General features: G+C 46.3%; 1 protein-coding gene across 1 annotated transcript in view, besides 3 other annotated features; it reads left to right on the top strand.

Annotated features, from left to right (window-relative positions):
- Window positions 1–21,094, top strand: part of SUSD6 (sushi domain containing 6) — a 103,549-nt gene extending 82,455 nt beyond the window's left edge. Inside the window, exons 3-6 of the mRNA NM_014734.4 lie at window positions 9,345–9,542; window positions 10,554–10,692; window positions 14,627–15,054; window positions 16,904–21,094. Of these exons, the coding sequence (NP_055549.1) occupies window positions 9,345–9,542; window positions 10,554–10,692; window positions 14,627–15,054; window positions 16,904–16,929 (791 nt within the window). The 3' untranslated portion in view covers window positions 16,930–21,094. The remainder of the gene's footprint in view (window positions 1–9,344; window positions 9,543–10,553; window positions 10,693–14,626; window positions 15,055–16,903) is intronic.
- Window positions 436–485: an enhancer, noted in NCBI's record as "active region_8646". NCBI's record gives its function as "activates an Ori minimal core promoter by ATAC-STARR-seq in GM12878 lymphoblastoid cells {active_cell/tissue: GM12878}" and the evidence as "EXISTENCE:reporter gene assay evidence [ECO:0000049][PMID:35858748]".
- Window positions 7,242–7,536: a silencer, noted in NCBI's record as "tiled region #930; K562 Repressive non-DNase unmatched - State 5:Enh". NCBI's record gives its function as "represses a minimal TATA promoter and a strong SV40 promoter by Sharpr-MPRA in K562 cells {active_cell/tissue: K562}" and the evidence as "EXISTENCE:reporter gene assay evidence [ECO:0000049][PMID:27701403]".
- Window positions 19,142–19,436: an enhancer, noted in NCBI's record as "tiled region #8327; HepG2 Activating non-DNase unmatched - State 8:EnhW". NCBI's record gives its function as "activates a minimal TATA promoter and a strong SV40 promoter by Sharpr-MPRA in HepG2 cells {active_cell/tissue: HepG2}" and the evidence as "EXISTENCE:reporter gene assay evidence [ECO:0000049][PMID:27701403]".
- Window positions 21,095–22,700: the final 1,606 nt, after the last annotated feature.

Here is a 22,700-nt window from a genome sequence, read left to right on the forward strand (position 1 = left end):
AAGCATCTACTATCTCCTGGATTATTTGTCAGGTACTAGGGATACAAAAATGAGCAGAACAAGTCTCTGCCCTATGGCTTAGATGTGTGGGTTGGTGGTTATTGGGGAAATGGAGGAAGGACCAACCTGTGAGAAAACCTGCAGAGACTACAACATGGTGATAGGTTACAAATAGGAGTGAAGATGATGTAATGGGAACCCAGAGGAGGAATAATAAAGCTGCTGTTATTGAACACTTAGTATGTGACAGACCCATTACCAGGTACTTTACCTGCATAGTTGTGATTAACCTTTTGAATCCCCATGTTAAAAATGAGGAAACTGAGGAATAGGAAGATCTCCCCAGGACTACCCAGTGGGTAACTGTTGGAGCAGTGTGCAACCCCAGGCCGTGAAGTCTCAGCCCAAGCTGGTAAGCTCCACCCTGTGCTGCTCATTGTTTCTCTCTGGCCATGCCTGGGAAGGTGGCCTTGGAACCTTGGAGATGGGTGGGGTTCCAGCTGACTGCATGTGCTTTCAGTTCAGGGTTTCTAGGCTGGGAGAGAAACAGTACTTTTGACTGAATGACTAAGGACTTTAGAGGCTTAGGTGCCACTAAAAGCACTTTCTTTTATTGAACGCTGTGCCTCAAACATGAAAACTCCAGGTGACAGGAGTTTTTATGTTTGAGGCAGGGTGCAGTAAAAGAAAGTGCTTGTTGGCTCTGAGGCCTCTGGCTGGCATTTTCCCTCTCCTGTGAGGGGGAGGAAGTGAGGGGCCCAGGCCTAAAACAAGATGGACAGGTCCGAGGCCTGTCCCACCTGTCAGTTGCTGATCTTCCGAGGAGGGCTTAGGTTGAGCCTCTCTTAGGAAGGCAGTGGTGGGGGCCCGAGAAGAGCCACAGGAGGTATCCTGAGCCATGGGTGGTTTCTCCCTGTGTTCTCCCACCCCAGCTCTGGTGCCACACCCTGAAAAAGGCTTGAGCTACTGCAGGCTGGCTCTCCCCCAGTGAGTGGGAAGTTCTCATGAGAAAAGGGATCCTGACTGGACAATAGGCTTCCTGTCTGACTGCTAGGAAGATTTGTCTCATAGGAGAGGAAGGTTGCAAATGGCATGAGAAACCATCTCACTTCCCTCTCACTGCAGCCTGTTTTAGACTTGACTATTTGGCGGGATCGGGAAGCCAGAAGGCTGGGCAGAGCCATGGACCAGAGCAGCCCCAGGTATCTCTTAAGTAGTGGGACTCCTGCCTGTTTTCCGGCTCTCACCACAAGTCCACAGCAGGAATCTGTCCCAATGCAGGAATTTCTGCATGGACAGGATGATCTCTAGCCCCTCACACCTTGTGCTGTATCCAAAACCACAATGGTTGCAGGACTTTTGCGAAGGAACCTTGGAGAGGTAGTGAGGCCCGCCAACTTTAGACAAATTTGCAAATGTCAGAAGAGATCTCAGAGGTGATCTGGTTCATTGCCTTCATGTATTGAAACTGAGGCCCAGAGTCTACGGGCAGTACCCAGTTTGTCCTTGTCACTGGACTCTGCCATCTGTGGCTCCCTTGACAGATTATGGGTGTGAGAGAAGCCTGACTCCGAGACCCTCTGATACTGCCCAGTGCTGTGGAATGGGAATACAGCCTTCTGGGGTTCAAATCCTAACTGTGCCACCCACCTGCTGGGTGAAATTGAGCAAGTATCTCAACCCCTGGCTCATCTGTGTAATGCATTGTTATGTTTCTAGAGGGTTTTTTGTGAAACTTAAATGAGTTACATATGTAAAGTGCTCAGATAGTGCCTGGCCTGTAGTCAGTGAACACAAGCTGTTGTTATTAGGAGGCTTCAGAAGAAACCTTTTGACCATATCAGATGTCATCACTTGTTTTTTCTTCTTTGTATTTGTCTGGAATGCTCTAATTCCAACTTGCCTGGGAGGCTTTCTTTAGGGGAATCACCTCCCCTTTGAAAAAGGCTGTTCATACTGGGTATAACTCTTTCTTTTATATGCTGTACGAAGTAGCTGGATGTCTCCAAAGCCATAGGCTGAGCACATCAAATGGGGAAATGAGCCACAAAACAGAACCTGGCAGGTTTCCTGATGCCCTGCCCCCCTCAGCAGGCCCCGGCTTAACTGAGTGGTCAGGCTTGCAGCTTAGAAGCCAGAGTTCCTGGTGAATCCAGCCCTGCCAATTACAAATGTGTGGCTTGAGGCAGATCACTCAACTCAGTTAAGCCTTATTGTCCTTATCTGTAAAGTGGAGAAAATATAGTACCTGCTTCATGTAGAGAGAGAACCCAGAAGAGTACTTGGCACAGGTAATAAACTATCTGTTTGCAATAATTACTGTTTTCCTTATTCCAAAACAAACAGAACTATACATTTAAACACCTTTGTTCTCTGTATTGACCTTGCTTTTTCTCTGGATCTCTTTGCTTCTACAAACCATTGAAGGCTAGAAGTAGAAATATAACCTTTATATATAAGAAAGGGTTTTGAGAGCAAGCACATAAATAGTGCTTTTCTAAATAACTTTAAGAGACCCTTAGTGCTAAATGCCTCCTTCTTTCCACATCTTCAGCCTCACATTTCATGCCCTGTCGTGTGGTTCTGAACCTTTTCCACTGTTTTCAGATCCCCAGACCTGTCCTGACTGCTGGCCAAGGACTCCTTCACTGAGACTGTGCTGTCCACTACAATAGCCACTACTAGGTGGCTGCATGTGGTGACTGAGAACTTGAAATGTGTTTAGTCTGAGTTGAGGTGTGCTATAAGTGTAACCGGAAAGGGGTCCAGATTCAGACCCCAGGAGAGGGTCCTTGGATCTTCCACAAGAAAGAATTCAGGGCGAGTCCACAGAGTAAAGTGAAAGCAAGTTTATGAAGAGAGTAAAGGAATAAAAGAATGGCTGCTGTATAGACAGTATAGACAGAGCAGTGTGGCATGGGCTACTCGGCTGAGTGTATTTATAGTTATTTCTTGATTATATGCTAAACAAGAGGTGGATTATTCATTAGATTTCCAGGAAAGGGGTGGGAATTCCTGGAACTGAGGGTTCCTCCCCTTTTCAGACCATATAGGGTGACTTCCTATGTAGCCGTGGCATTTGTGAACTGTCATGGCTATGGTGGGGGAGTGTCTTTTAGCATGCTACTGCATTATAATTAGCATATAATGAGCAGTGAGGACACCGGAGGTCACTTTCGTCACCATCTTGGTTTTGGTGGGTTTTGGTCGACTTCTCTGCCCAACCTGTTTTATTGGTGTGGTCTTTTGTGACATGTATCTTGTGACCTCCTATCTCATCCTATGATTTAGAATGCCATGCCTAACCTCCTGGGAATGCAGCCCAGTAGATCTCAGCCTCATTTTACTCAGCCCCTATTCAAGATGGAGTCGCTGTCATTCAGATGCCTCTTATATAAGTGTACAGACTACTATGAGAAAAAGAATATAAAGTATCTCATTAGTGAATTTTTATGTTGACTCCATGTTGAGATGTAATCAGTCAACATATTTTTTCATATGTTGGGTTAAATAAAATATTAAGATTAATTTCACCTGTTTCCATTTATCTTCCTAATTGGCTACTAGAACATTTTAAATTACATCTGTGGCCATGTTATATTTCTGTTGGACAGCTTTGTGCTAGGTTTGTGATTTCCATCCATTCCTTCCTCCTCTCCTTAGTTTCTACTCTTTTTCTTCTTTGCCTCAGGCTCTTACCCTCCCTGGGTGCCGATGAATGATCACCTAGCCAGAAGGACACCCCAGGCTATTAGAAAAGCTCATATTTGAGCAGCTTGTGTCACATTTAACACTTACTTCATTGGTTTAGGGTAGAGTTGGCTGTGACCATGTCTGTCTTCTCTAGGTTGTAGGCTTGTAGTGGGGGCATGGTTCTGTTACCGGAAAGAGGTCCAGATCCAGACCCCAACAGAGGATTCTTGGATCTCACACAAGAAATAATTTAGGGAAGTCCATAGAGTAAAGTGATAGCAAGTTGATTAGGAAAGTAAAGGGGCTGGATGCGCTGGCTCACGCCTGTAATCCCAACACTTTGGGAGGCCGAGGCGGGCAGATCACTTGAGGTCAGGAGTTCGAGACCAGCCTGGTCAACATGGTGAAACCCTGTCTCTACTAAAAATACAAAAGTTAGCCGGGTGTGGTGGCACACGCCTGTAGTCCCAGCTACTCAGGAGGCTGAGGCAGGAGAATCGCTTGAACCCATGAGGCAGAGGTTGCAGTGAGCTGAGATTGCCACTGCACTCCAGCCTGGGTGACAGGGGACAGGGCGAGACTCATCACAAACAAACAAACAAAAAATGCACTATAGATAATTTAAATGTAACCTTCTCCTACTCAACCCTAATCCCTTTGAGGCTGCATGCATGTCACACTGATCTTTATATTCCCTGCTTTCCACACCTTGTTTTGAAGGAGCTCAAGTATTTGTTCTGTTTGTTAAATTGAATGCTTTGACCCCTGGGGCCTTTCCTGGAGCTTATTTTGCTTTGCTTGTTTTGGAATGTTGTAAAAGTTTGTTTTGTTTTAATTTGCCTCCTTCTGAAAGGTTGGCCTGCAAAACCAACAAAACCAGGGAACCTTTAGAAAGGCTGGTGAGGGTCCTCAGCAGTTAGTTTCTGCTGAGGGTGTCAGGCTGAGGCGACGGAGGTGGTGGAAGTATCAGCTAGATCATTTTGCGTCTCATCTGCATTGTTACCAGGGTGGACTTTGACTGAATGCCTACTGTGTGCACTCCCTGTGCTCACTGAAAGCCTATGTGGCTGTGGGACAGAATGGAAAGCAGAGAGGAAGCTAAAGATAATTCATTGATTTTTTTTCCCCCTGTAAAATTGTCTGGCTTTCTCCTTTTCTTTTTAAAATTATGTGGCACTGCCACATCAGGTGAGTTCATTGTCTTCCCAGAGTTAAGTACAGAGCTTCCTTCTGCGAACCTGGAATTGTCAGAGAATGATCCTGGTGCACAGATCAAGACAGTTTCTTGCCTAGACTGTGGCTTCTGGAAGCCACTGAACAATTTCTTTGCCATGTGGGTTTTGCCTTTTTTTAGTGTTCTTCCCAGGCATCACTGAGAGGGTCCTCTTCAACACCTGCTGTTGGCCAGGACTCTGCTCTTGGTCAAGAGGATCATATTTTTTCATGTGTTCTTTTTCTTTTCTTTTCTTTTCTTTTTTTAAACAGAGTCTCACTTTGTCGCCCAGGCTGGAGTGCAGTGGTGCAATCTCAGCTCACTGCAACCTCTGCCTCATGGGTTCAAGCAATTCTTGTGCCTCAGCCTCCTGAGTAGCTGGGTCTAGAGGTGTGCATCACCACACCTGGCTAATTTTTGTATTTGTAGTAGAGATGGGGATTCACCGTGTTGACCACGCTGGTCTCGAACTCCTGACCTCAAGTGATCCGCCCACCTTGACCTCCCAAAGCGCTGGGATTGTAGGCGTGAGCCACTGTACCCAGCCTTTTCACATGTTCTTAGTGTCTTAAAATGACTTGCCTTTTTTTTTTTTTTGGACCCTTTCTTCTTAGGCATCCTTATTTCTTCTTTGAACCTGGAGCATCTTATGACATACTTCAGCTTTTTTCTTTTCTATGACCTTCATAGATGGGCATAAAATAATTTTTGTACTGAGTTTATTTTGCCATACTGAAGCGGTGTTGTTGTCTGGGGTAATATCTGAGGTTCATTGTCCCACAGCCATGGAAAATTAGGATGCAGACACACCAGAGTGAGGTTAAGAGTGGAAGTTTAATAGGCGAAAGAGAAGAGCTCTCTGCACAGAGAGGGGTCCCAGAGAAAATGGGTTGCACTTCTGCAGTTAAATGAAGAAGGTTTTATAGATGAGCTTGAGGAGACCATTTACATAGGGGACGAAAGATTGGTTGGACCATGTGTGCCATTTGCATAGTTGTGAAATAGCTGGCCGTCCCACCCTAATCTTTTATTATGCAGATGGGTTCTCTACCTGGTGGGCACCATGTTGCCTGGTCCTTACTGTACACGTGGTGACAAAGAAAAGGGAACATGGAGCCTCCACTCTGAACACACCTGGCTTCCAGGTGGCCCTTTTCTATTGGCACAGCTGCTGGCATTCACCTGTGCAAGCTTCCAGCTTGCTTATCTATGCAGCTCGATTTTTCAGGCTGCTCTTTGTTAGAAAAGAAATGATTTTGAGGCTGCTTTTCCTTAAAAGGGAAACCTTGCTGAGGACTCTTTTGCCGTCACTATCTGCCTAAATAATTTCTTTCTAGCTCCTGTATCAATACTAGGATTGCTATAATGTTGACATAATCTAAGGGGTCTCTCCTACCTCTAGTCCATCTTATATCAAATTATAAATTTGCTTTTCTTATAATGCTACCCTTCTCAAGAACCTTCAGCGGCTCCCCCTTTTCTTTGACTATAATTATAAATATCTCCTTTTGTAAGGAAGGTCCTCTACAAGATGGTTTCATCACTCTTCATGTTATTTTTTTGGACTTTTAAAAAATTACTCAACCCAGCCAAACTGGGCTGCTTGCTGTTCTCAGAAGTTAACCTACATTTTCCCACTTCAGTGCATTTACTTCAAACTATGACCTCCCTTCCTGATGAAGTGAAGCCCCATCTGAAGTGCTACTTCCTCGGAGATCCTTTCCTAGGCTCCCCTATTCCTGCTTTGAACTTCCTCTCTTGTGGCACAAATCACATTATTTGACATGTGTTAGAATAAATTTGTATATAGAGTATCTTTGGAAGAATATGGTAGAAACTGGTGCAGTGACTCTGGAAAGAGGAACCCAGTGACGGGACACTGTGCACCCTTTTTGAATTTAATACCTTGTATATTTCCCATGAGTCTGTTTTTTTTGTTTTGTTTTGTTTTGTAAAAGTATTTTAGATAACAAAAACCTAATCCCTAAAGCATTACAAGAAAATACTGGAGAGTATGTTTATAAACTCAGAGTAGAGAAAGAGTCCTTAATCCAGAAGCCATAAAGAGAATGATTTTTTAAATATATGTGTGCACTTAATGGTCATATCCCTATTTGGCAAGAAGGACCTGAGGTGCTTATATTTTTGTCCTTTTTCAGAGCATAGCACAGTGACCCCCTACTCAGAATCAGTAAGTATTAGTTGAATTGAAATTAAACTGAATTACAAGTCACTTCTTTGCAGTCCTCACTTTTTTTTTTTTTTGACTTATTATGAGTGCTAGGTGACCGCCAGGATCCCGCTCAAAGATTCTGTGGAGATGTGGGTTTTATGGAAAGAGATACCCAGCAAAGCAGGAGTGGCTTTAGAATCAGCAGCTCTTCCCCTGAGACTGTCCTTCCCAGCACATTGGACTTGTGTGTGGGTCCTGCCTGCTTTCAGGAGCTGCCATGGGGTGCTCAGCATTAATTATGCCACGGAAATGAACCAATTAGACACAGTCCAAGGAGAGCCAGGGAGTAAGTCAGGGAGATCTGTGGCAGGCCTGCTGCCCTGAACAAAAGAGGGAAAGTGTAAAGGCTAAAGCAGTTTGCGGAGGTTTCTTTGGAAATCTAGCTGGCCAGCGCTCTGAACTACTTGGCCAAAGTTAAAGAGCACCAGAAGGAGTGTTTGCGTTTTTCTTTCTCCTGTTCAAGACTCTGGTGGTGGAGGAGAATAGGGACAAGTTGGGTCCTTAGAGGGGACTTGGGGGGAGCTTACTGGAGCTCATCTCCTAGTTTCAGAGAAGCTGCCAGACTTCTCTGGATCCCTGTGGCACCTACCCAGCTTTGTTTTGTTAATAGCTTTTTAAAAATGGCATCTTTTTTTTAGTGGCATCACCTAAAAAAAGAAAAGAAAAAGTGCCTTTTCTCCCCATCTCAAGTGATAAGCAAATTGAGGGTAGGGAGCCATCATCTCTTTTCCATTTGGTGTCCACTCCCCAACCTGGCTGGCAGTCAGCTTGCTTAACAGCCATTTGTAGATTGGAAAGAAGAGGCATGGGTGAGAGAGGCTGTGAGGGCACAGCTGCAGGGTGGTGTGGTCTGCCCCTCTCGTGGATGAGAAACTGCCTTATCTTGGACAGTCAGGCACTGTGGTGTGACTCTCAGTCACTCCAGGCCTGTCAGAGGAAATGAGAAAAAGAAAACGACCGTTCTTATTCTCATACAGATGTCCTTGTGATATTCAGGATGGGGGCAGGTTATTTGTCAGCAAAATTGAATTTCCTTTGGAAAACTTTTGGTCTTTATTGCATTCATGGTTGCCTGGCCATTCTACCTCAGCCCAACATTCCAAACAGTGATTCTGTAGTGCCCCCACTTTTACTGTTTTGGCTGGTAATACCCGGCAGTCCACCACCTGGGGTCTTCAGTTTTGCAGTGTCAGTCCAGAGTGGAATCAGAGGTTGTCCTTTTCCTCCTCAGGTCCACTCAGACCTTCCAGATCCTCTGACTTACCATTACTGCAACTTACCAGGGTTCCCACCATACCTAGGCACTGCCTGCCATCTCCCTAACTGACCAGTTTCAAGAGGGCAAAGGGGAGGTAACCTTGACACCCATACCCCTTAAAGGCCATGCAGCTCATGGGGTAGAAGCAATGTCTGCTGGTGGAAAGAGCAGAGGTTTAGAATCAGAAGATTTGACTGTGACCCCAAGCCTGCCATTTACCTTGCTGTAAGCTTGGCTAAAAGTCACTTAACTTTTGTGGCCCTCAGTGTCTTCTTCTTCAAAGGAGAGTAACGATAGCTGTCTCACAGAGTTGTCAGGACAAATAAGGCGGGAGGTGAAGGTGCTTTTGAAACTAGGCAGTCCTGTATATCAGTGGAAAATGTGGAATTTATCATGGGATAGAGACAGGTGGTGCCATTGACTACTATAGTCAGAGAATGGAAGATGCACAGGGGGTTTGGGAAGCCTCCCAGGGAATCTATCAGAAATCCCCTCTCAGGCCAAGAGTGCACGTTTTTATTATACAATAGAGTCTTTTCTGACATTGATAGTGGAAACAAGGCCAACATTTTTCCTCCTTTCACTGTGATTTATTATGTGTGTTACAGGCTTTATTACATAATACAGGCTTTATTAAAACTATTATGTCTAGATCTCTATAGGTTCAAGACTTTAGAGTCTGCCGTTCATTTATGGATGGAATTCTCTTAAGGCATGGTGGGGAGGGAGGGGGAAATGTTGCAAGCAGCCACTTCCCCTGTTGCCAGTATACTTCCCCTCTGTCAGTGGCAACCTGAGTTTCCAGGGTTTGGTTAACAGTTCCTCCAAGGAAAGGGTTATTTCCTCCTCCTGTGTTTCCTGTAGAGGCCTTCAGAGCTGCGTCACTGAGAGCAGACTCCTACTGGATACCTCACCACTGTACCCCTGCTCTCTCCCTGTCTTTGCAGTGTGCCCCCTACCACCGGAGCCAGAGAATGGTGGCTACATCTGCCACCCCCGGCCCTGCAGAGACCCCCTGACAGCAGGCAGTGTCATCGAATACCTGTGTGCTGAAGGCTACATGTTGAAGGGCGATTACAAATACCTGACGTGTAAGAATGGCGAGTGGAAACCAGCCATGGAGATTAGCTGCCGTCTCAACGAGGGTCAGTCTGGCAGATGAAAAAGGGATGCTGCTGGGGTTCTGCTTTCTGTTAACTCACAGGATGCAAAGCATGCTTCCTCCAGAGCACTCTTTGCTGTGGTGCAGCCCAGCCCCAGTTGATGCTCTGCAGCCTCCCTTCCTTGGGTCTTCATGTCTTTGTGGAAGATACTTGAGGTTGCTGGTGCATGTCCTATTGCATTTCATTGAGCCATCTGCCCTGCTCTGTAAAGCCCGTTTGATGTTCAGGATCTCTTGTTTGCATGGCCAAGTGTTGGTGACCCTTGACCATGTTCTGCCCTCACAGTGAGCACAATGCTAATACCTTCTCTAATGTATCGTCCATTTCATTTTTCCTTGAATGGAGCTACAGACCAGCTGGACAAAAGACCTCCCACCCTTACTGCTTCCTCCTGTCTTGCATGACAGGAAAATCCACCTGCTTGCAGGAAAGTGTGTCATATAACCATCTTTGTGCTTCCCACTCAGGCTTCAAGACCAGAGCATGTTTAACCCATGACACCCCAGAAATGGGTGGGAACCAACCTGAGAGTTACAATTAAAGCTGTGGATCTTAAGACAAGGTTTTATTACAGTCCAGTTTCTGTAAATTAATCCTGCCACTTGGGAAGAACATAGGTAGAACTTAAGATGGTGGAATGACATGCCCAGTTAAATTGTCGATGTTTACAAACTTCAAGCTTTTGAGGATGGGATCAAAGTGGTTTATAAAGGTAAAATCTCTAGGGTTAAGTGAGTTTATGTGTCAGATGGACCTCAAAGATTGGAAGTGAGGGGAATTTTTTATTCAGGAAACAGGATAGGGAAATGGTCCTTTTCCAAAAGAACTGTGTATACATAGGTCATTCTAAGCTGTTATTCCTGAAATGACCCTGACCGTAGGATGTCTGTATTGCACCATTCAGGAGGCATTTGACAAGATCAGCTGTGGGGCCCATCAGCTGTTTTGTGTATTTGGGTACAAAACCCTTCTGATGATGGCTTGTTTTTATAGATAAAGACACCCACACATCACTTGGGGTCCCCACGCTGTCTATAGTGGCTTCTACTGCCAGCTCCGTGGCGCTCATTCTCCTCCTCGTGGTGCTGTTTGTGCTGCTGCAGCCAAAGCTGAAGTCTTTCCATCATAGCAGGTGAGTCCAGTGGCAGAGCTGACATGAGACAGGCAGGTGCAAGCATTACTGTGGGGGCCAGTCTTTGGTGGAGGGTTGCTGGTGGCCCCAATCTCTGTGGGTCTGTGTGTGTCCAGGGAGTGGGGAGGGCCCTGCCATGTGTCAAACTCCTAGATGTGCCTACCATTGTGCTTATTGCTTTGCATACATTATCTTAATCCTCATAGGAACATTGCAGATGAGGAAATTGAGGCTCAGAGAGGTTATTCACTCAGGGTTATACCTCTAGATGACAACAGAGCTCAGAACTGAGGCTGCGCGCGGTGGCTCATGCCTGTAATCTCAGCACTTAGGGAGGCTGAGGTGGGCGGATTGCCTGAGGTCAGGAGTTTGAGACCAGCTTGACCAACATGGTGAAACCCTGTCTCTACTAAAAATACAAAACAATTAGCCGGGTGTGGTGGCGCGCGCCTGTAGTCCCAGCTACTCTGGAGGCTGAGGCAGGAGAATCACTTGAACCCACGAGGCAGAGGTTGCAGTGAGCCGAGATCACACCACTGCGCTCCAGTCTGGGAGACAGAGTAAGACTCTGTCCCATTAAAAAAAAAAAACAAAAAAAAACGGAAATCTGTTCAATTCCAAAGCCATGTCATTTCCCCTACACCAGTCGTTCTCAAAGCGTGGTTCCAGCAGCGTCAGGATCATGGAACTTGTTAGGATCAACCAAATGAGAAGCTCTAGGGGTGAGGCCCAGTGATATTGTTTAACAAGCTGTCCAGGTGATTTTGATGAACACTTAAGTTTGTGAGCCACTATCCTGCACTCCTGGTTCCCAGTCCCGGCTGCAATATAGAGGCACCTGGGGGAGTTTAAAAACAAATATCAACACTTGGGCCTCCATTCCCATTCTGATTTATTTGGTTTGGAATGGAACCCTGGCATTCACTTTTTATAAAAAGCTCAGTTTTTCTGTGCAACTAGGATTTAGAACCACTGCACCACACTAAGGAGAAACAAAGGAAGTGGATTTTCTTGCCTGCCTTTATCAGTTTCCTTTTCCAGTCTACTGCTTTAGCCACAAGTTGTCTAGGGGCGAGGAGCATGAAGGGCAGAGCTGATGGTGCTGGCCCTGAGTGGATTCCCGATGATGGACTTTTCTTCCAGGCCATTGTGGCTTCTGCAGTTACTTGGCCCTTCCTGGCAGTTCCTCATTCCCTCTTGAGGAGTAACATTTTTTATATATCTTCACAGTCCTTCATCAGTCACTGTTATAACTCACAAACATAAAGGGCCAAAGTAAACTGCATTCAGTAAAATGTTCCAAATTTGGATTTACAGACAAGGACCAGGCTAGATTTAATCTCTGTGTACTATGTGTGATTTTCTTTCTTTTATTTTGTTTTTGGGAAGAGGCTAGCAGTTATTTTTAAAGGCTATTAATTAATAGGATGAAGAGGATTTGAAGGGGATTGTTTACTTGAAATGATCAGCTATTTCCACCTAAAGTCAAACTGATCAGTTCTGCATCTCATCTAAATGAGGGAGTTTTCCCCCCTATAGTTAACTTGTAAGTTTGTTAAAAGTAACTGGCTAGTTTTGCTTGATTTGAGTAGAGGGGAGATTTGGTTTTCATTGTAGACCCCATTTAAATTTTGTGCTGTGTACATATATTACTTTTTAAGCCAAACACTATTTTGAGTAACAAAAGTCAAGCACATGCCAGTTTACACACTGCTTTCTTTTTTTTCTTTTTCTGAGACAGGGTCTCACTCATGTTGCCCAGGCTGGAGTGCAGTGGCGTGATCACAGCCTACTGCAGCCATGACTTCCCTGGGCTCAGGTGATCCTCCCACCTCAGCCTCCCTAGTAGCTGCAACCACAGGCATGTGCCACCATACCCAGCTAATTTTTTTGTATTTTTTATAGATATGGGTTTCGCCACATTGCCAGGCTGGTCTTGAATCCTGGTCTCAAGCAGTCTGCCCACCTCAGCCTCCTAAAGTGCTCCCATCAAACTTTCCCTTCCTTCCAAAAACCTCTGCCACTTCTCTCCTCTCAGAGTGTATGTAGCACAGATTTTACTGCCAAGAGCAGGTGAGGAAATTGAGAACTACTAACAACAATCTAGCAACAATAATATGGTCTAGCAGCAGACCATCTATATTTCTTGAATTGATGAGCTGAAAGGACACAGCATCACCTAGGATTGGCCTGAATCCAATGCTGAGGAAACTATTAGACAAGTCCAGATTGTGGGACATTCTTTGAGACAGCTGGCCTGGACTCTTTAAAAAAAAAAAAAAGCCAATGTCATGAAAGAAAAACTATAGTGGACTGTTTAACAGATTAAATGAGATGAAAGACACAGGACAATTAAATGCAATACATGATACTTAATTGGGTCCTGGATGAAAACAAAGAAGACTGCAGCTGAAGTAGATATATTTTTGGATAGTTAGGAAAATTTGTGTTATTGTATTACACCAATGTTAAATTTCTGGGATCTGATGATGTAGTTGTATCAGAAAGGATACTCTTAGGAAGTATATGTTAAATAACATCTTCACCTTACTTTTAGATGGTTCAGGGAAAAAAAAGGCATGTTTATGTGTATAACAAAAGTGATCCCCAAAAAAGATATCCGCATGAATAAGCCTCACACGTATGATGTTGAGTAAAAGAAGCCAGAAACAGATATATACTCTCACAAATTTACTTTGTTATCCCATTCAAGTAAAGATTAAAAATATGCAAAACTGTCCAGGCACAGTGGCTCACGCCTGTAATCCTTTGGGAGGAGGAGGTGAGAGGATTGCCTGAGCCCAGGAGTTCAAGACCAGCCTGGGCAACATGGAGAAACTCCGTCTCTACAAAAAATTGGCCAGGCGTGGTGGTGCATGCCTTAGTCCCAGCTACTTGGGAGGCTGAAGTGGGAGCATCACCTGAGCCCAGGATGTTGAGGCTGCAGTAGGTTGTGATCACGCCACTGCACTGCAGCCTGGGCAACAGAGTAAGACCCTTTCTCAAAAGAAAAACAATTTTTTTAATTAAAAAAAAATATATGCAAAACTAAACCACAGTGTTGAAGGATTCATGTTTAGGTAGTAGAACTGTTAAAATAAAAAGCAAAGAAATGATTTTCCTGAAAGTCTGGATAGTGGTTACTTTTTGTGGTGAGGCAATGGGAGTGATTTTGGGACAGGTGCAAAGGGTCTAGGTTCTGGGCAGTGTTCTTTTTCTTGACCTATATAGGAGTTTTATACCAGTGTTACTTTTGGAGTAAATCAGCTAGCTGTACACAGATTTTTCTTGTGTTCTGTTTTCTGTATTTGTGTTCAAAGTTTTTAAAAAGTTTACAAACTTTTAAAAAAAGCAGTATGGCTGAGTCAGAACAAAATTATTGTGATTTCTAGTCCAGTATCCCACACTTCCCTGTTTTTTAACAGCTTTATTGAGATATATTCCACATACCATACAGTGTACCTATTTAATGTGTACAGTGAAGTGGTTTTTAGTATATTCACAGATATATGCCACCATCATTCTCTCACTTCCTTATTTTAGCTGTGCTGAATGAATGCCTTTATTTCTGGGTCTCTAGGCTCCTAGTTTTTCCACAGGGTAAAAGGGCCAGGTGCCTGTGTACCCAGAGGTTAAGAACACAGTTTTTGGAGGCTGATGGAACCGGATTCAAATCCTAGCTCCATCCTTTACCAGCTGTGTGATTGAGGGCAAGTTAATTAACTTCTCTGAGCCTCATTTGCATTCTTGGTGAATCCCTACCTGAAAGGGCTCAGGTGAGAATCCAGCATGATAAGGTGTTTAAAATTCCTAGTGCTTTGCCTGGCACATAGTAAGTGCTCAAAAATGGTGGCGGCTGCTATTATTATTATCATGCCTGTTTCTCTGTGTGTTTATTCTAATTCATCCTTTGTCTTTTCCTCCTCCACTCCAGGCGTGACCAGGGGGTATCTGGGGACCAGGTCTCCATCATGGTGGATGGAGTCCAGGTTGCACTACCATCATACGAGGAGGCTGTATATGGCAGTTCTGGTCACTGTGTGCCACCTGCTGACCCCAGAGTACAGATTGTGCTGTCAGAAGGGTCTGGGCCCAGTGGGAGGAGCGTGCCAAGGGAGCAACAGCTGCCGGACCAAGGGGCCTGCTCCTCTGCAGGTGGAGAAGATGAGGCCCCAGGCCAGTCTGGACTATGTGAAGCCTGGGGCTCTCGGGCCTCAGAGACTGTGATGGTGCATCAGGCAACCACCTCTTCCTGGGTGGCCGGCTCAGGGAACCGCCAACTGGCACACAAAGAAACTGCAGATTCAGAGAACAGTGACATACAAAGCCTTTTATCCCTCACGTCAGAGGAGTACACAGATGGTGAGTGGTCCAAGCTGAACATGAATTATTAGCTGCTTAGGGTCCTTGCTGGGAGTGAGGAAGGACTGTGAGCCTTTCTAAATAATTGGTATATTTTTAGCAAAAAAAAGATAGTACCTGGGGTATTTGCCTACAAAATAGAATTTCACCCTCAGAGTACTGAGTAGGGCTTTGGGCTCTCTGTAGTGAGACTTTTCACTGACGCCTGTGAATTCTGATCGTTTGGAGTCTCTGAGGCCATTCATAGTCACAGAGCCTTGCTAAATCAAAAGACAGCTTGCTGGAGTTGGGGGTGGGGTCTGTCCTCTTGTTATAAATGTTATGTTCCTGAAAGGTCAGGAATGACAAGGAGGCATAGGTTATTTTACAGAAAAATGAGAGCCTCTCCAGAGCAGACAGCTGCTGCTTTCTAAACAGGAGTGTTCCGGGTACTATGCTAGTTTGTTTTCTTGCACTATCTCAGTTAAACATCACAGTGATCCTAAGACACAGGTATTTATTGACATCCCCATTTTACAGCTGAGGAAACTAAGGCTCACAGAAGGTAAGTCACTTGGCCCACTGGTAAATGGCTGAGCTGGGATTTGAAGCCAGATTCTGCCTTCCAGGTGGCTCTAGCGCCCTTGTGGCAAACAATCATAGAATGAAATTACTGCCTCCTGATGTTTCTGCCTTTGCCAGAGGCCAGTTTACCCTGGGCTTGAGTCTGTCACTTTGAAAGCTGTCTTTAAGGTAAATCCCAATGTAGTTCAGGATGAGACTAACCCTAGATGCCCCTTTCTATAGTGAAGACTTGTACACTCAGAAAGCCTCCCTAAAAGAGCCTTAGAGGAAACTTTATGCTTCCTGGGTATCCTGGGCATAGTAAATGTCTAAGGTTTAGAATATCTGAAAGCAAAGAAGTTGGAAATTACTGAAAGCAGATCATGTTTATGGAGCTTCCTGGTTATCAACATCTTGCCTTCGTTTTTCTTGGTTGGCCATTAAAATAGTTGACCCAGGTTTGAATCTGGAAGCCAGTAACCCCACAGTCAGCCAGCCACACATATTGTGAGATGTGTGTAAGTGTATATCATAGCCCTTATCTTCCCAAGGAGCCAAGGTGGGGCCCTCCTCTTCCTCCTCTTCCATGCTACCTAGCTTTGTTTTTTGTATTTAACAAGCATTTTGAGAGGCCATCTTGTGCCTAATGCTGGATTAGGTTTCAGGGGTGATACAGAGAAATATGAAATGTGCTATCTTCCTGCATGGAGTATCAGCCATTTGGGAAGATGGTGGGGCCTATACTCAAGAAATAATAGAACCAGGAATTGTAGTGTCTGTGTCAGAATGAGGGGTTCAGAAAACAAGACACATTAAGTCAGTAAGTTCCTTGCAGGCCATGCCTGAGCTGTTTGGGACTGATAATACCCTAGGAAGTTGGGAGCTTGAGGCCCACAGCATATGAAGAAGCTGAAACCAAAAGAAGGGAAGTGATTTATCCAAAGTCACACGACTGGCAGATGGCTTTAGGAGGCAGTGGGACTTCACAGGGCTTTGTAGCCTCATAGGGTGGAATTAGGAGAGAAAGGGAAGTGACTAGACCAGCAGAGCTAAGGCAGAGAGGAGGATGGTTTGAATACCAGGCTGAACATTGAGTTTTTTTCACATAGGCACTGGGAAAGATAAGCTAGAAAGTCATAAAAAAGGAGGTAGGGAGTTTTTGCCTACCTAGAAGTGTATGAGTGGGACATTTACTTTCTTTAAATTAGGGGCTATGTAGGATAGCCCCTAAGTTGCAGTGGGGTCGAGAGTGCTCTAGAGTTCCACACAAGGTAACCACTGTGCTTTTCTTCTGGTCTTCCTGCAGATATTCCACTGTTGAAAGAAGCATGAGGGCAGCGGCCAGCCTTTCCTCTCTGCGAGGTTCTCTCAGCCCTTCCTCCCTCTCCCTGTGGGATTGAGCACCCTGTACTCTCCAGCCACCTTACCTGGATACCTGAGCTGCCACCTGTGTATCTGTGTATCTCTGAGGGCCCTATAGGCCCACCTTGCTGGAAACTCAAGGAAGATTCTCGCCATCTGCCTGTTGGACAGCTGGAGGAGCTGGCTCTTTGCCTGGCCCCGCCTTCCCATCTGTCAGAGACATATTTGAATGTGCTGGATCAAACCCTCCCTTTTCCTAAGCCTCTGGGTCCCCTCCAGCCAGCTCTTTGGCGGCAGCCCCCACCAGCTCCTGTGGGCCTGAGTGCTGCTGTGTTTACTTGTGCCTTTCCCCCACCCTGTCCAGTTTCCCTGTCATGCAGACTTGTTGCTGTCCACAAGCCTTAGTGGCTGCACTGCTGCCCCCTGCCACACAGGGGGCCGGGCCTGGGTCTGTCCTGTTTCCTTTGAGGGTTGCCCCTACTGCCCTTTGCAGGAACAGATCCAGGTGTGAGAGCTCTTGAGTCAAGAGTGGCAGAAGTGGCTCTAATTGGGGTGAGAGTGTAGTCCCTGGGCTTGCCCTGGGTTGACCCTGGTGGCATATTTCCTTGGCTGAGGATGGAAGATTTGGAGAATCATGTCCATGCTGGCCCAGGACCCAGCCATCTGGCCCAAAGGCACAAGCTCCTGGCCCTGTTGAGTTGAGAGTTTCCAAGAAGCATCCAGAAGATCCCAAGGGAGAGAAGGAAAATGGCTGATAATGATTGTCTTCCTAATATGCAAGTTCTCACTTCCTACTTCCAGCATCGGCCTTCCTGGCCTTGTCTTTTTTTTGTTTCCCTGGAGTATAATGGGAAGTTGCATGCTGCCTCCTGGGTTTTATCCCAGATAGCTCTGGCTTTCTTGCTGCCCACAGGGGCCTGGGGCAGGAAGGAGACTTGCTGAGATGCCATGGAGTGCCCATCTGGTCACTGGCAGTCTGGGCAGGTTGCCCCTTTCTGGGTTTGTGGTGACGGAGGGGAGGCCGAGAGGCACAGACCAAGTCCCCGGGTGGCTGCAGGCAGCTCCAGCCCGGTCCTGAGGATCCTCCTCACCATGGTCACGTGCCTTAGTAACTGTGCCCAGGAAGTGGCCTGCTGCTTGCTGTGCTGCTGCTTTTCCTACTTCTGCCCTTCCCTGCCACCCCTCGCATGTCACAGCTGACAAGCAATTCCTTGTCTTCCCTGGCCCCCTGGGGGAAGGGCTGAGAAACAGTCCGTGTGCACCCCAACCTTAATGGCCTGAGGTGGGCAGAGGGGTGTGGAGCAGCCTGGAGTACAGGGCCCTGGGGGAGGAGCCCACTGATGAGGGGCGCTCTCCCATAGCCATGTGTTGAATGCTAACTAGGCTGGGGTGGACGAACTCTGCCAACTGCTGTCATCTTAGAAGATAGATGCAGCAGTAAGGAATGTTTGTTTTGCTTTTTTCTGAAATTTTCTGAAGCACTGTGGCTGGGAAACTTCGAAGCGGACCCTGTGCTGCATGTCTGCTCCTCCCCTGAGCCTGTCTGCTTGGGGGTGGTAAAAATAAAAATCCCAGTTTATTTTCAGTACCTTACCTAACAGGGTTGGCTCCAGGCGTGGGTGGCCTAGAAGATGAGGGGAGTGGTCTTCTCCCAGCCTTTTACCCTCTTGCCTCCTGCCTCCGCGCTTACACACGCACTTTACCACCCGGTCATTCCCTGGCCTCTTGCTGCCACTTGTAGTCTTCCTTCCTTCCTCTCAGGGTAAGGGCAGTGCCTGCTGTGCCTGTTGGCCACTCCCACACTTCCCCTCCCCCAGGAGCCCTCATCTGCTGTGCTGAGTCCAGGAAAGCATAGTTAGGTAGGGAGCTGGTTGGAGAAGGTGCTAGAACTAGAAGGCAGATGAGACTAGCATGGGCCCACCTGGAGGGCTGTCCCTAATGGCCCCAGTCGCCTTACCTCACCCACAGCAGTGCCCTTGTCTTCCTCCAAAACAGAAAGCAGTGACAAAAGGGGGAGGGGTGGTAATCTGAAGTCTCACTGCTGAGCCTTCAGCTTTTATTTTTCACTGTTTCAAAACCCGCATTCTATTCTAGAATGGTTTTTAAAATGGAAGATCTTACCTTTTTCTATCTTGTTACTCTGGGGTTTTGTCCCCCTAAGAGATTGCACTTTTTGTTTGGGGTTTATTCAGCTGCATAGATGACCAGCTTGATCCCTGGTGAAATGAAAAGCCTTCCTTCTCCTGAAGCCTCTTTCCGCCCTGCCCTCCACTAACAACACTGAGGAGCACAAGCCCAGGCTTGCCCACCTGGTAGGAAAGGAAGAAATTAGAACAATGGGAGCCTTGGCTCCCCTCTCGTCTCCTCCCCTCCTTCTTGTCACTGGCTTTGATGAGGCCCACTTCCCAGAGGCTCCTGGGCCTGTGAGTGCAGGAGCTCATTCTCCCCTCACTGCTGAAGTCTGTGACAGCTTCTTCCTCCAGTTATGTCTTTCTTCCAAAGCAATTTCTTAACCATCAGCCATGTGCTGCTATTTCTAGGGCTTCTGGGCTTTGTCCCTTACTGAGAGATTAGGGACTCCACAGCTGCCTTGAGGTAGGGCCTGGCTGAGAGACAAGGGTAGCAGCAGGTGGCAGGCTGTTAAAAGACAGGCTGCCTGAGGAGCCTGGAGCAGGTGGAAACAGGTGGAAGAAACCGGCCACAGCCCTGCTTTACCGGGCTCACCTCTAGGGCATTCCAGCAAGAGGCTGATGCAGGAGAATGGCCAGCACCAAAGGACATTTAAAAGAGTTTTTGGGTTTTTTTGTTTGTTTGTTGTTGGTGTTTGTTTTTTTTTTTTTTTTTTTGGCACACTTGAGCTGACTCAGTGCAGGTTTAATATCCTGGTGACTTGCAGTCACATTCTAATGACTTTCAAGGGCCAGAATATGGTGAAAATCACTTAAAATATCCGTCCCTTCCATGCCTTAGTTTAGCAGGTAGGCTCTATCTTTTGCCATTTCTGTATTTTATGTGCTGTGTTCCCGTTTCACTGGGTATGAACTGTGAAATCGACTGAATCCTGGCCACTTTATGAGTTTGTTTGGTTTTATAAGGCATTTCAATGTACATTCTATAAATACAAGCACTCCATTTGCAAACAGATCTTAAGCTAATATTTTCTTTCCCATTCATCTTGCCCTCCCCCTCCTCCCGCCAGCTTTAAAGTTCAGTGGAGAAGCCAGATGGCAATTCAGACAAAGGTATACTCTTCCTGCTTCATGGGTGGTGGCACGGGAATAGATAGCCCTTAGCCCTTTCCCTCCCAGTCCCAGCTGAGCCCTCAGACCACTTGCTTCCCACATAACAATGTCGCCTCCATTTCCGAGGAACATCCTTGCGTAGAGAATGAAATATGCTGCAATCATTTCTGCATCCTTACTCCTCACCCCCAAAGAAAAAAAAAAGGCCTAGCAGGGAAGCAGCATGCAGGCTTCACAGCTTAATGCCAAGGACAGCGAGTGAGGCTGGGAGCTTCTCTTGGGCCTGCTGGGTCTGTCAGCTCTCGGAATAGGGACAGTCCTTACTGGTGCCCCAAGGTGGGACTTGGAGAATATTTTGCTTGGCATATGTTTGGTCTGAATGGTGTAGTTGCTGGTTCCCTAGAGAGGAAAAGGTGGCAGGCCCAGCTTTGCTGGGAAATGGCTCTTAATTTCCAGTTGAAACCCTAGTAGAATTGTGAATGAAAACCTCAAGGTTGAGCCCCTCTGCCAAGCAGCAGAGCTAGTAGAAGGGGATGCAGGGGCAAAGCACTCAGTTGCCAAGCAAGGAGGAGAGATGTACGTGGGCTGTGTGGCAGTCCCCACACCCTGCCCTGGCTTCTTCAGGTTATCGCACCACTATGGAATCCTTTGCAGAATGGTACTCATATAATGGTTTAAAACAACACATTCATAATTGACTCTGTGCAGGATGTCACTCAATCAGTTTGGGTTTGCTTTATTTTATTTTATATATATATTTTTTGGTATCCTGTACATTGCAGTGGGTGTGAAGATAGTATTTTAATATTTGTACAAAGTTTAATTTAATTTTAATTGTTCTATGTATATAACTGCATTTCTAAATAATTAAAAAAAAGTTCTTATGAAGGCAATTCTGGGAGATGTGATCCTTCCTGAAAGTTTTTGCAGAAACCTTAGATTGAAAGAGCATATGTGGGCAGGAGGTCATGGAAGGATGAGGCACTAGCTCTGTAGGGAGGGTGCCTGGCAAGAGGTGGAGGAGCCAGGATGGAGAGCACTTTGGGAGGCCAAGGCAGTTGGATCACTTGAGACTAGGAGTTTGAGATCAGCCTGGCCAACATAGCAAAAGTCCATCTCTACTAAAAATACAAAAATTAGCTGGGCGCGGTGGTGCATGCTTGTAATCCCATCTACTTGGGAGGCTGAGGCCGGAGAATCGCTTGAACCCAGAAGACGGAGGTTGCAGCCAGCTGAGATTGCACCATTGTACTCCAGCCTGGGCGACAGAGCGAGACTGTCTCAAAAAATAAATAAATAAAGAAGTCTTGGCCAGGCGCGGTGGCTCACGCCTGTAATCCCAACACTTTGGGAGGCCGAGACAGGCGGACCACGAGGTCAGGAGATGGAGACCATCCTGGCTAACACGGTGAAACCCTGTCTCTACTAAAAATACAGAAAAAAAAAAAAAAAAACCCCGGCATGGTGGCAGGTGCCTGTAGTCCCAGCTACTCAGGAGGCTGAGGCGGGAGAATGGCGTGAACCCAGGATGCGGAGCTTGCAGTGAGTCGAGATCGCACCACTGCACTCCAGCCTGGGCAACAGAGCAAGACTCTTGTCTCAAAAAAAAAAAAACAAAACACAGGAGTCTTGACCACCAAATCTTCAGTATGGTGGGGTGCGGGTGCTTGGGCAAGGGAGGGACAACAGCAAAGGGAGGTTCAAACCGGGCAGAAAGCCACCACAGCTTCAGTGTGGCAAGGAGCACATTTGAAATGAGCTCACAAAAGGAAGGCTTTGGATTATATTCCTGGAAAGGGCAGATGTCTTGGAGCAGACGGGAAGAGAGAAGGAACTGTGGTGATGGCTCCCAAAACACCAAGGGTTTCAGGAAGAAGGCAGTGAGGTCCAAGTTAAAATAAGGGAAGCATTCTATTTATCTGGGGAAACTATGGCAACAGTAGGCATTGCCGGCAGTTCAGTGGGCAGGAGCAGTGAGGAGGGCAGGAACACAGGGAGAAATGGTGGGAATGCATTCAGGGAAGCCAAAAGCAAAAGATAGCTGGCAGCATGCCAGGATTCATGTTGATGCAAGCCAGCGTCTACTGAGTGCTTCCGTATGTACCAGGCGCCCTTCTAGGCTCTTGGCCTGCAGTAACTCCAGATCTGGCAGCTGCACCAGGGGGTGGGCATTCTGATTAACCCTGACTTTGCAGGTGAAGAAACAGGCTCAAAATAGTGTAGCGAAGCTTTATTATAAAGTCACACAGCTCTGAAATGATGGAAATTGGGACTCAAACATGATTGTCTCACAGCCCAGTGTCTTAATATCTGCCTCAAAGAACACTGCCCACAGCATGCAGGCTTCTTTATGTTGCAAGAACAGAAAACCCCACTGGCTTAAGCCACAATGCGCAGCTGATTCAACACCCAGCACCCCACTTCCAGGCTAATTCTACCAAGACCTGGCTTGAATGACATCATTTTCTTTCTCAGAAACTCTTCATGAGTCTTGCTTTA

This window comes from Homo sapiens, chromosome 14 (genome assembly GCF_000001405.40).
Source record: "Homo sapiens chromosome 14, GRCh38.p14 Primary Assembly".
Classification (NCBI taxonomy): domain Eukaryota; kingdom Metazoa; phylum Chordata; class Mammalia; order Primates; family Hominidae; genus Homo; species Homo sapiens.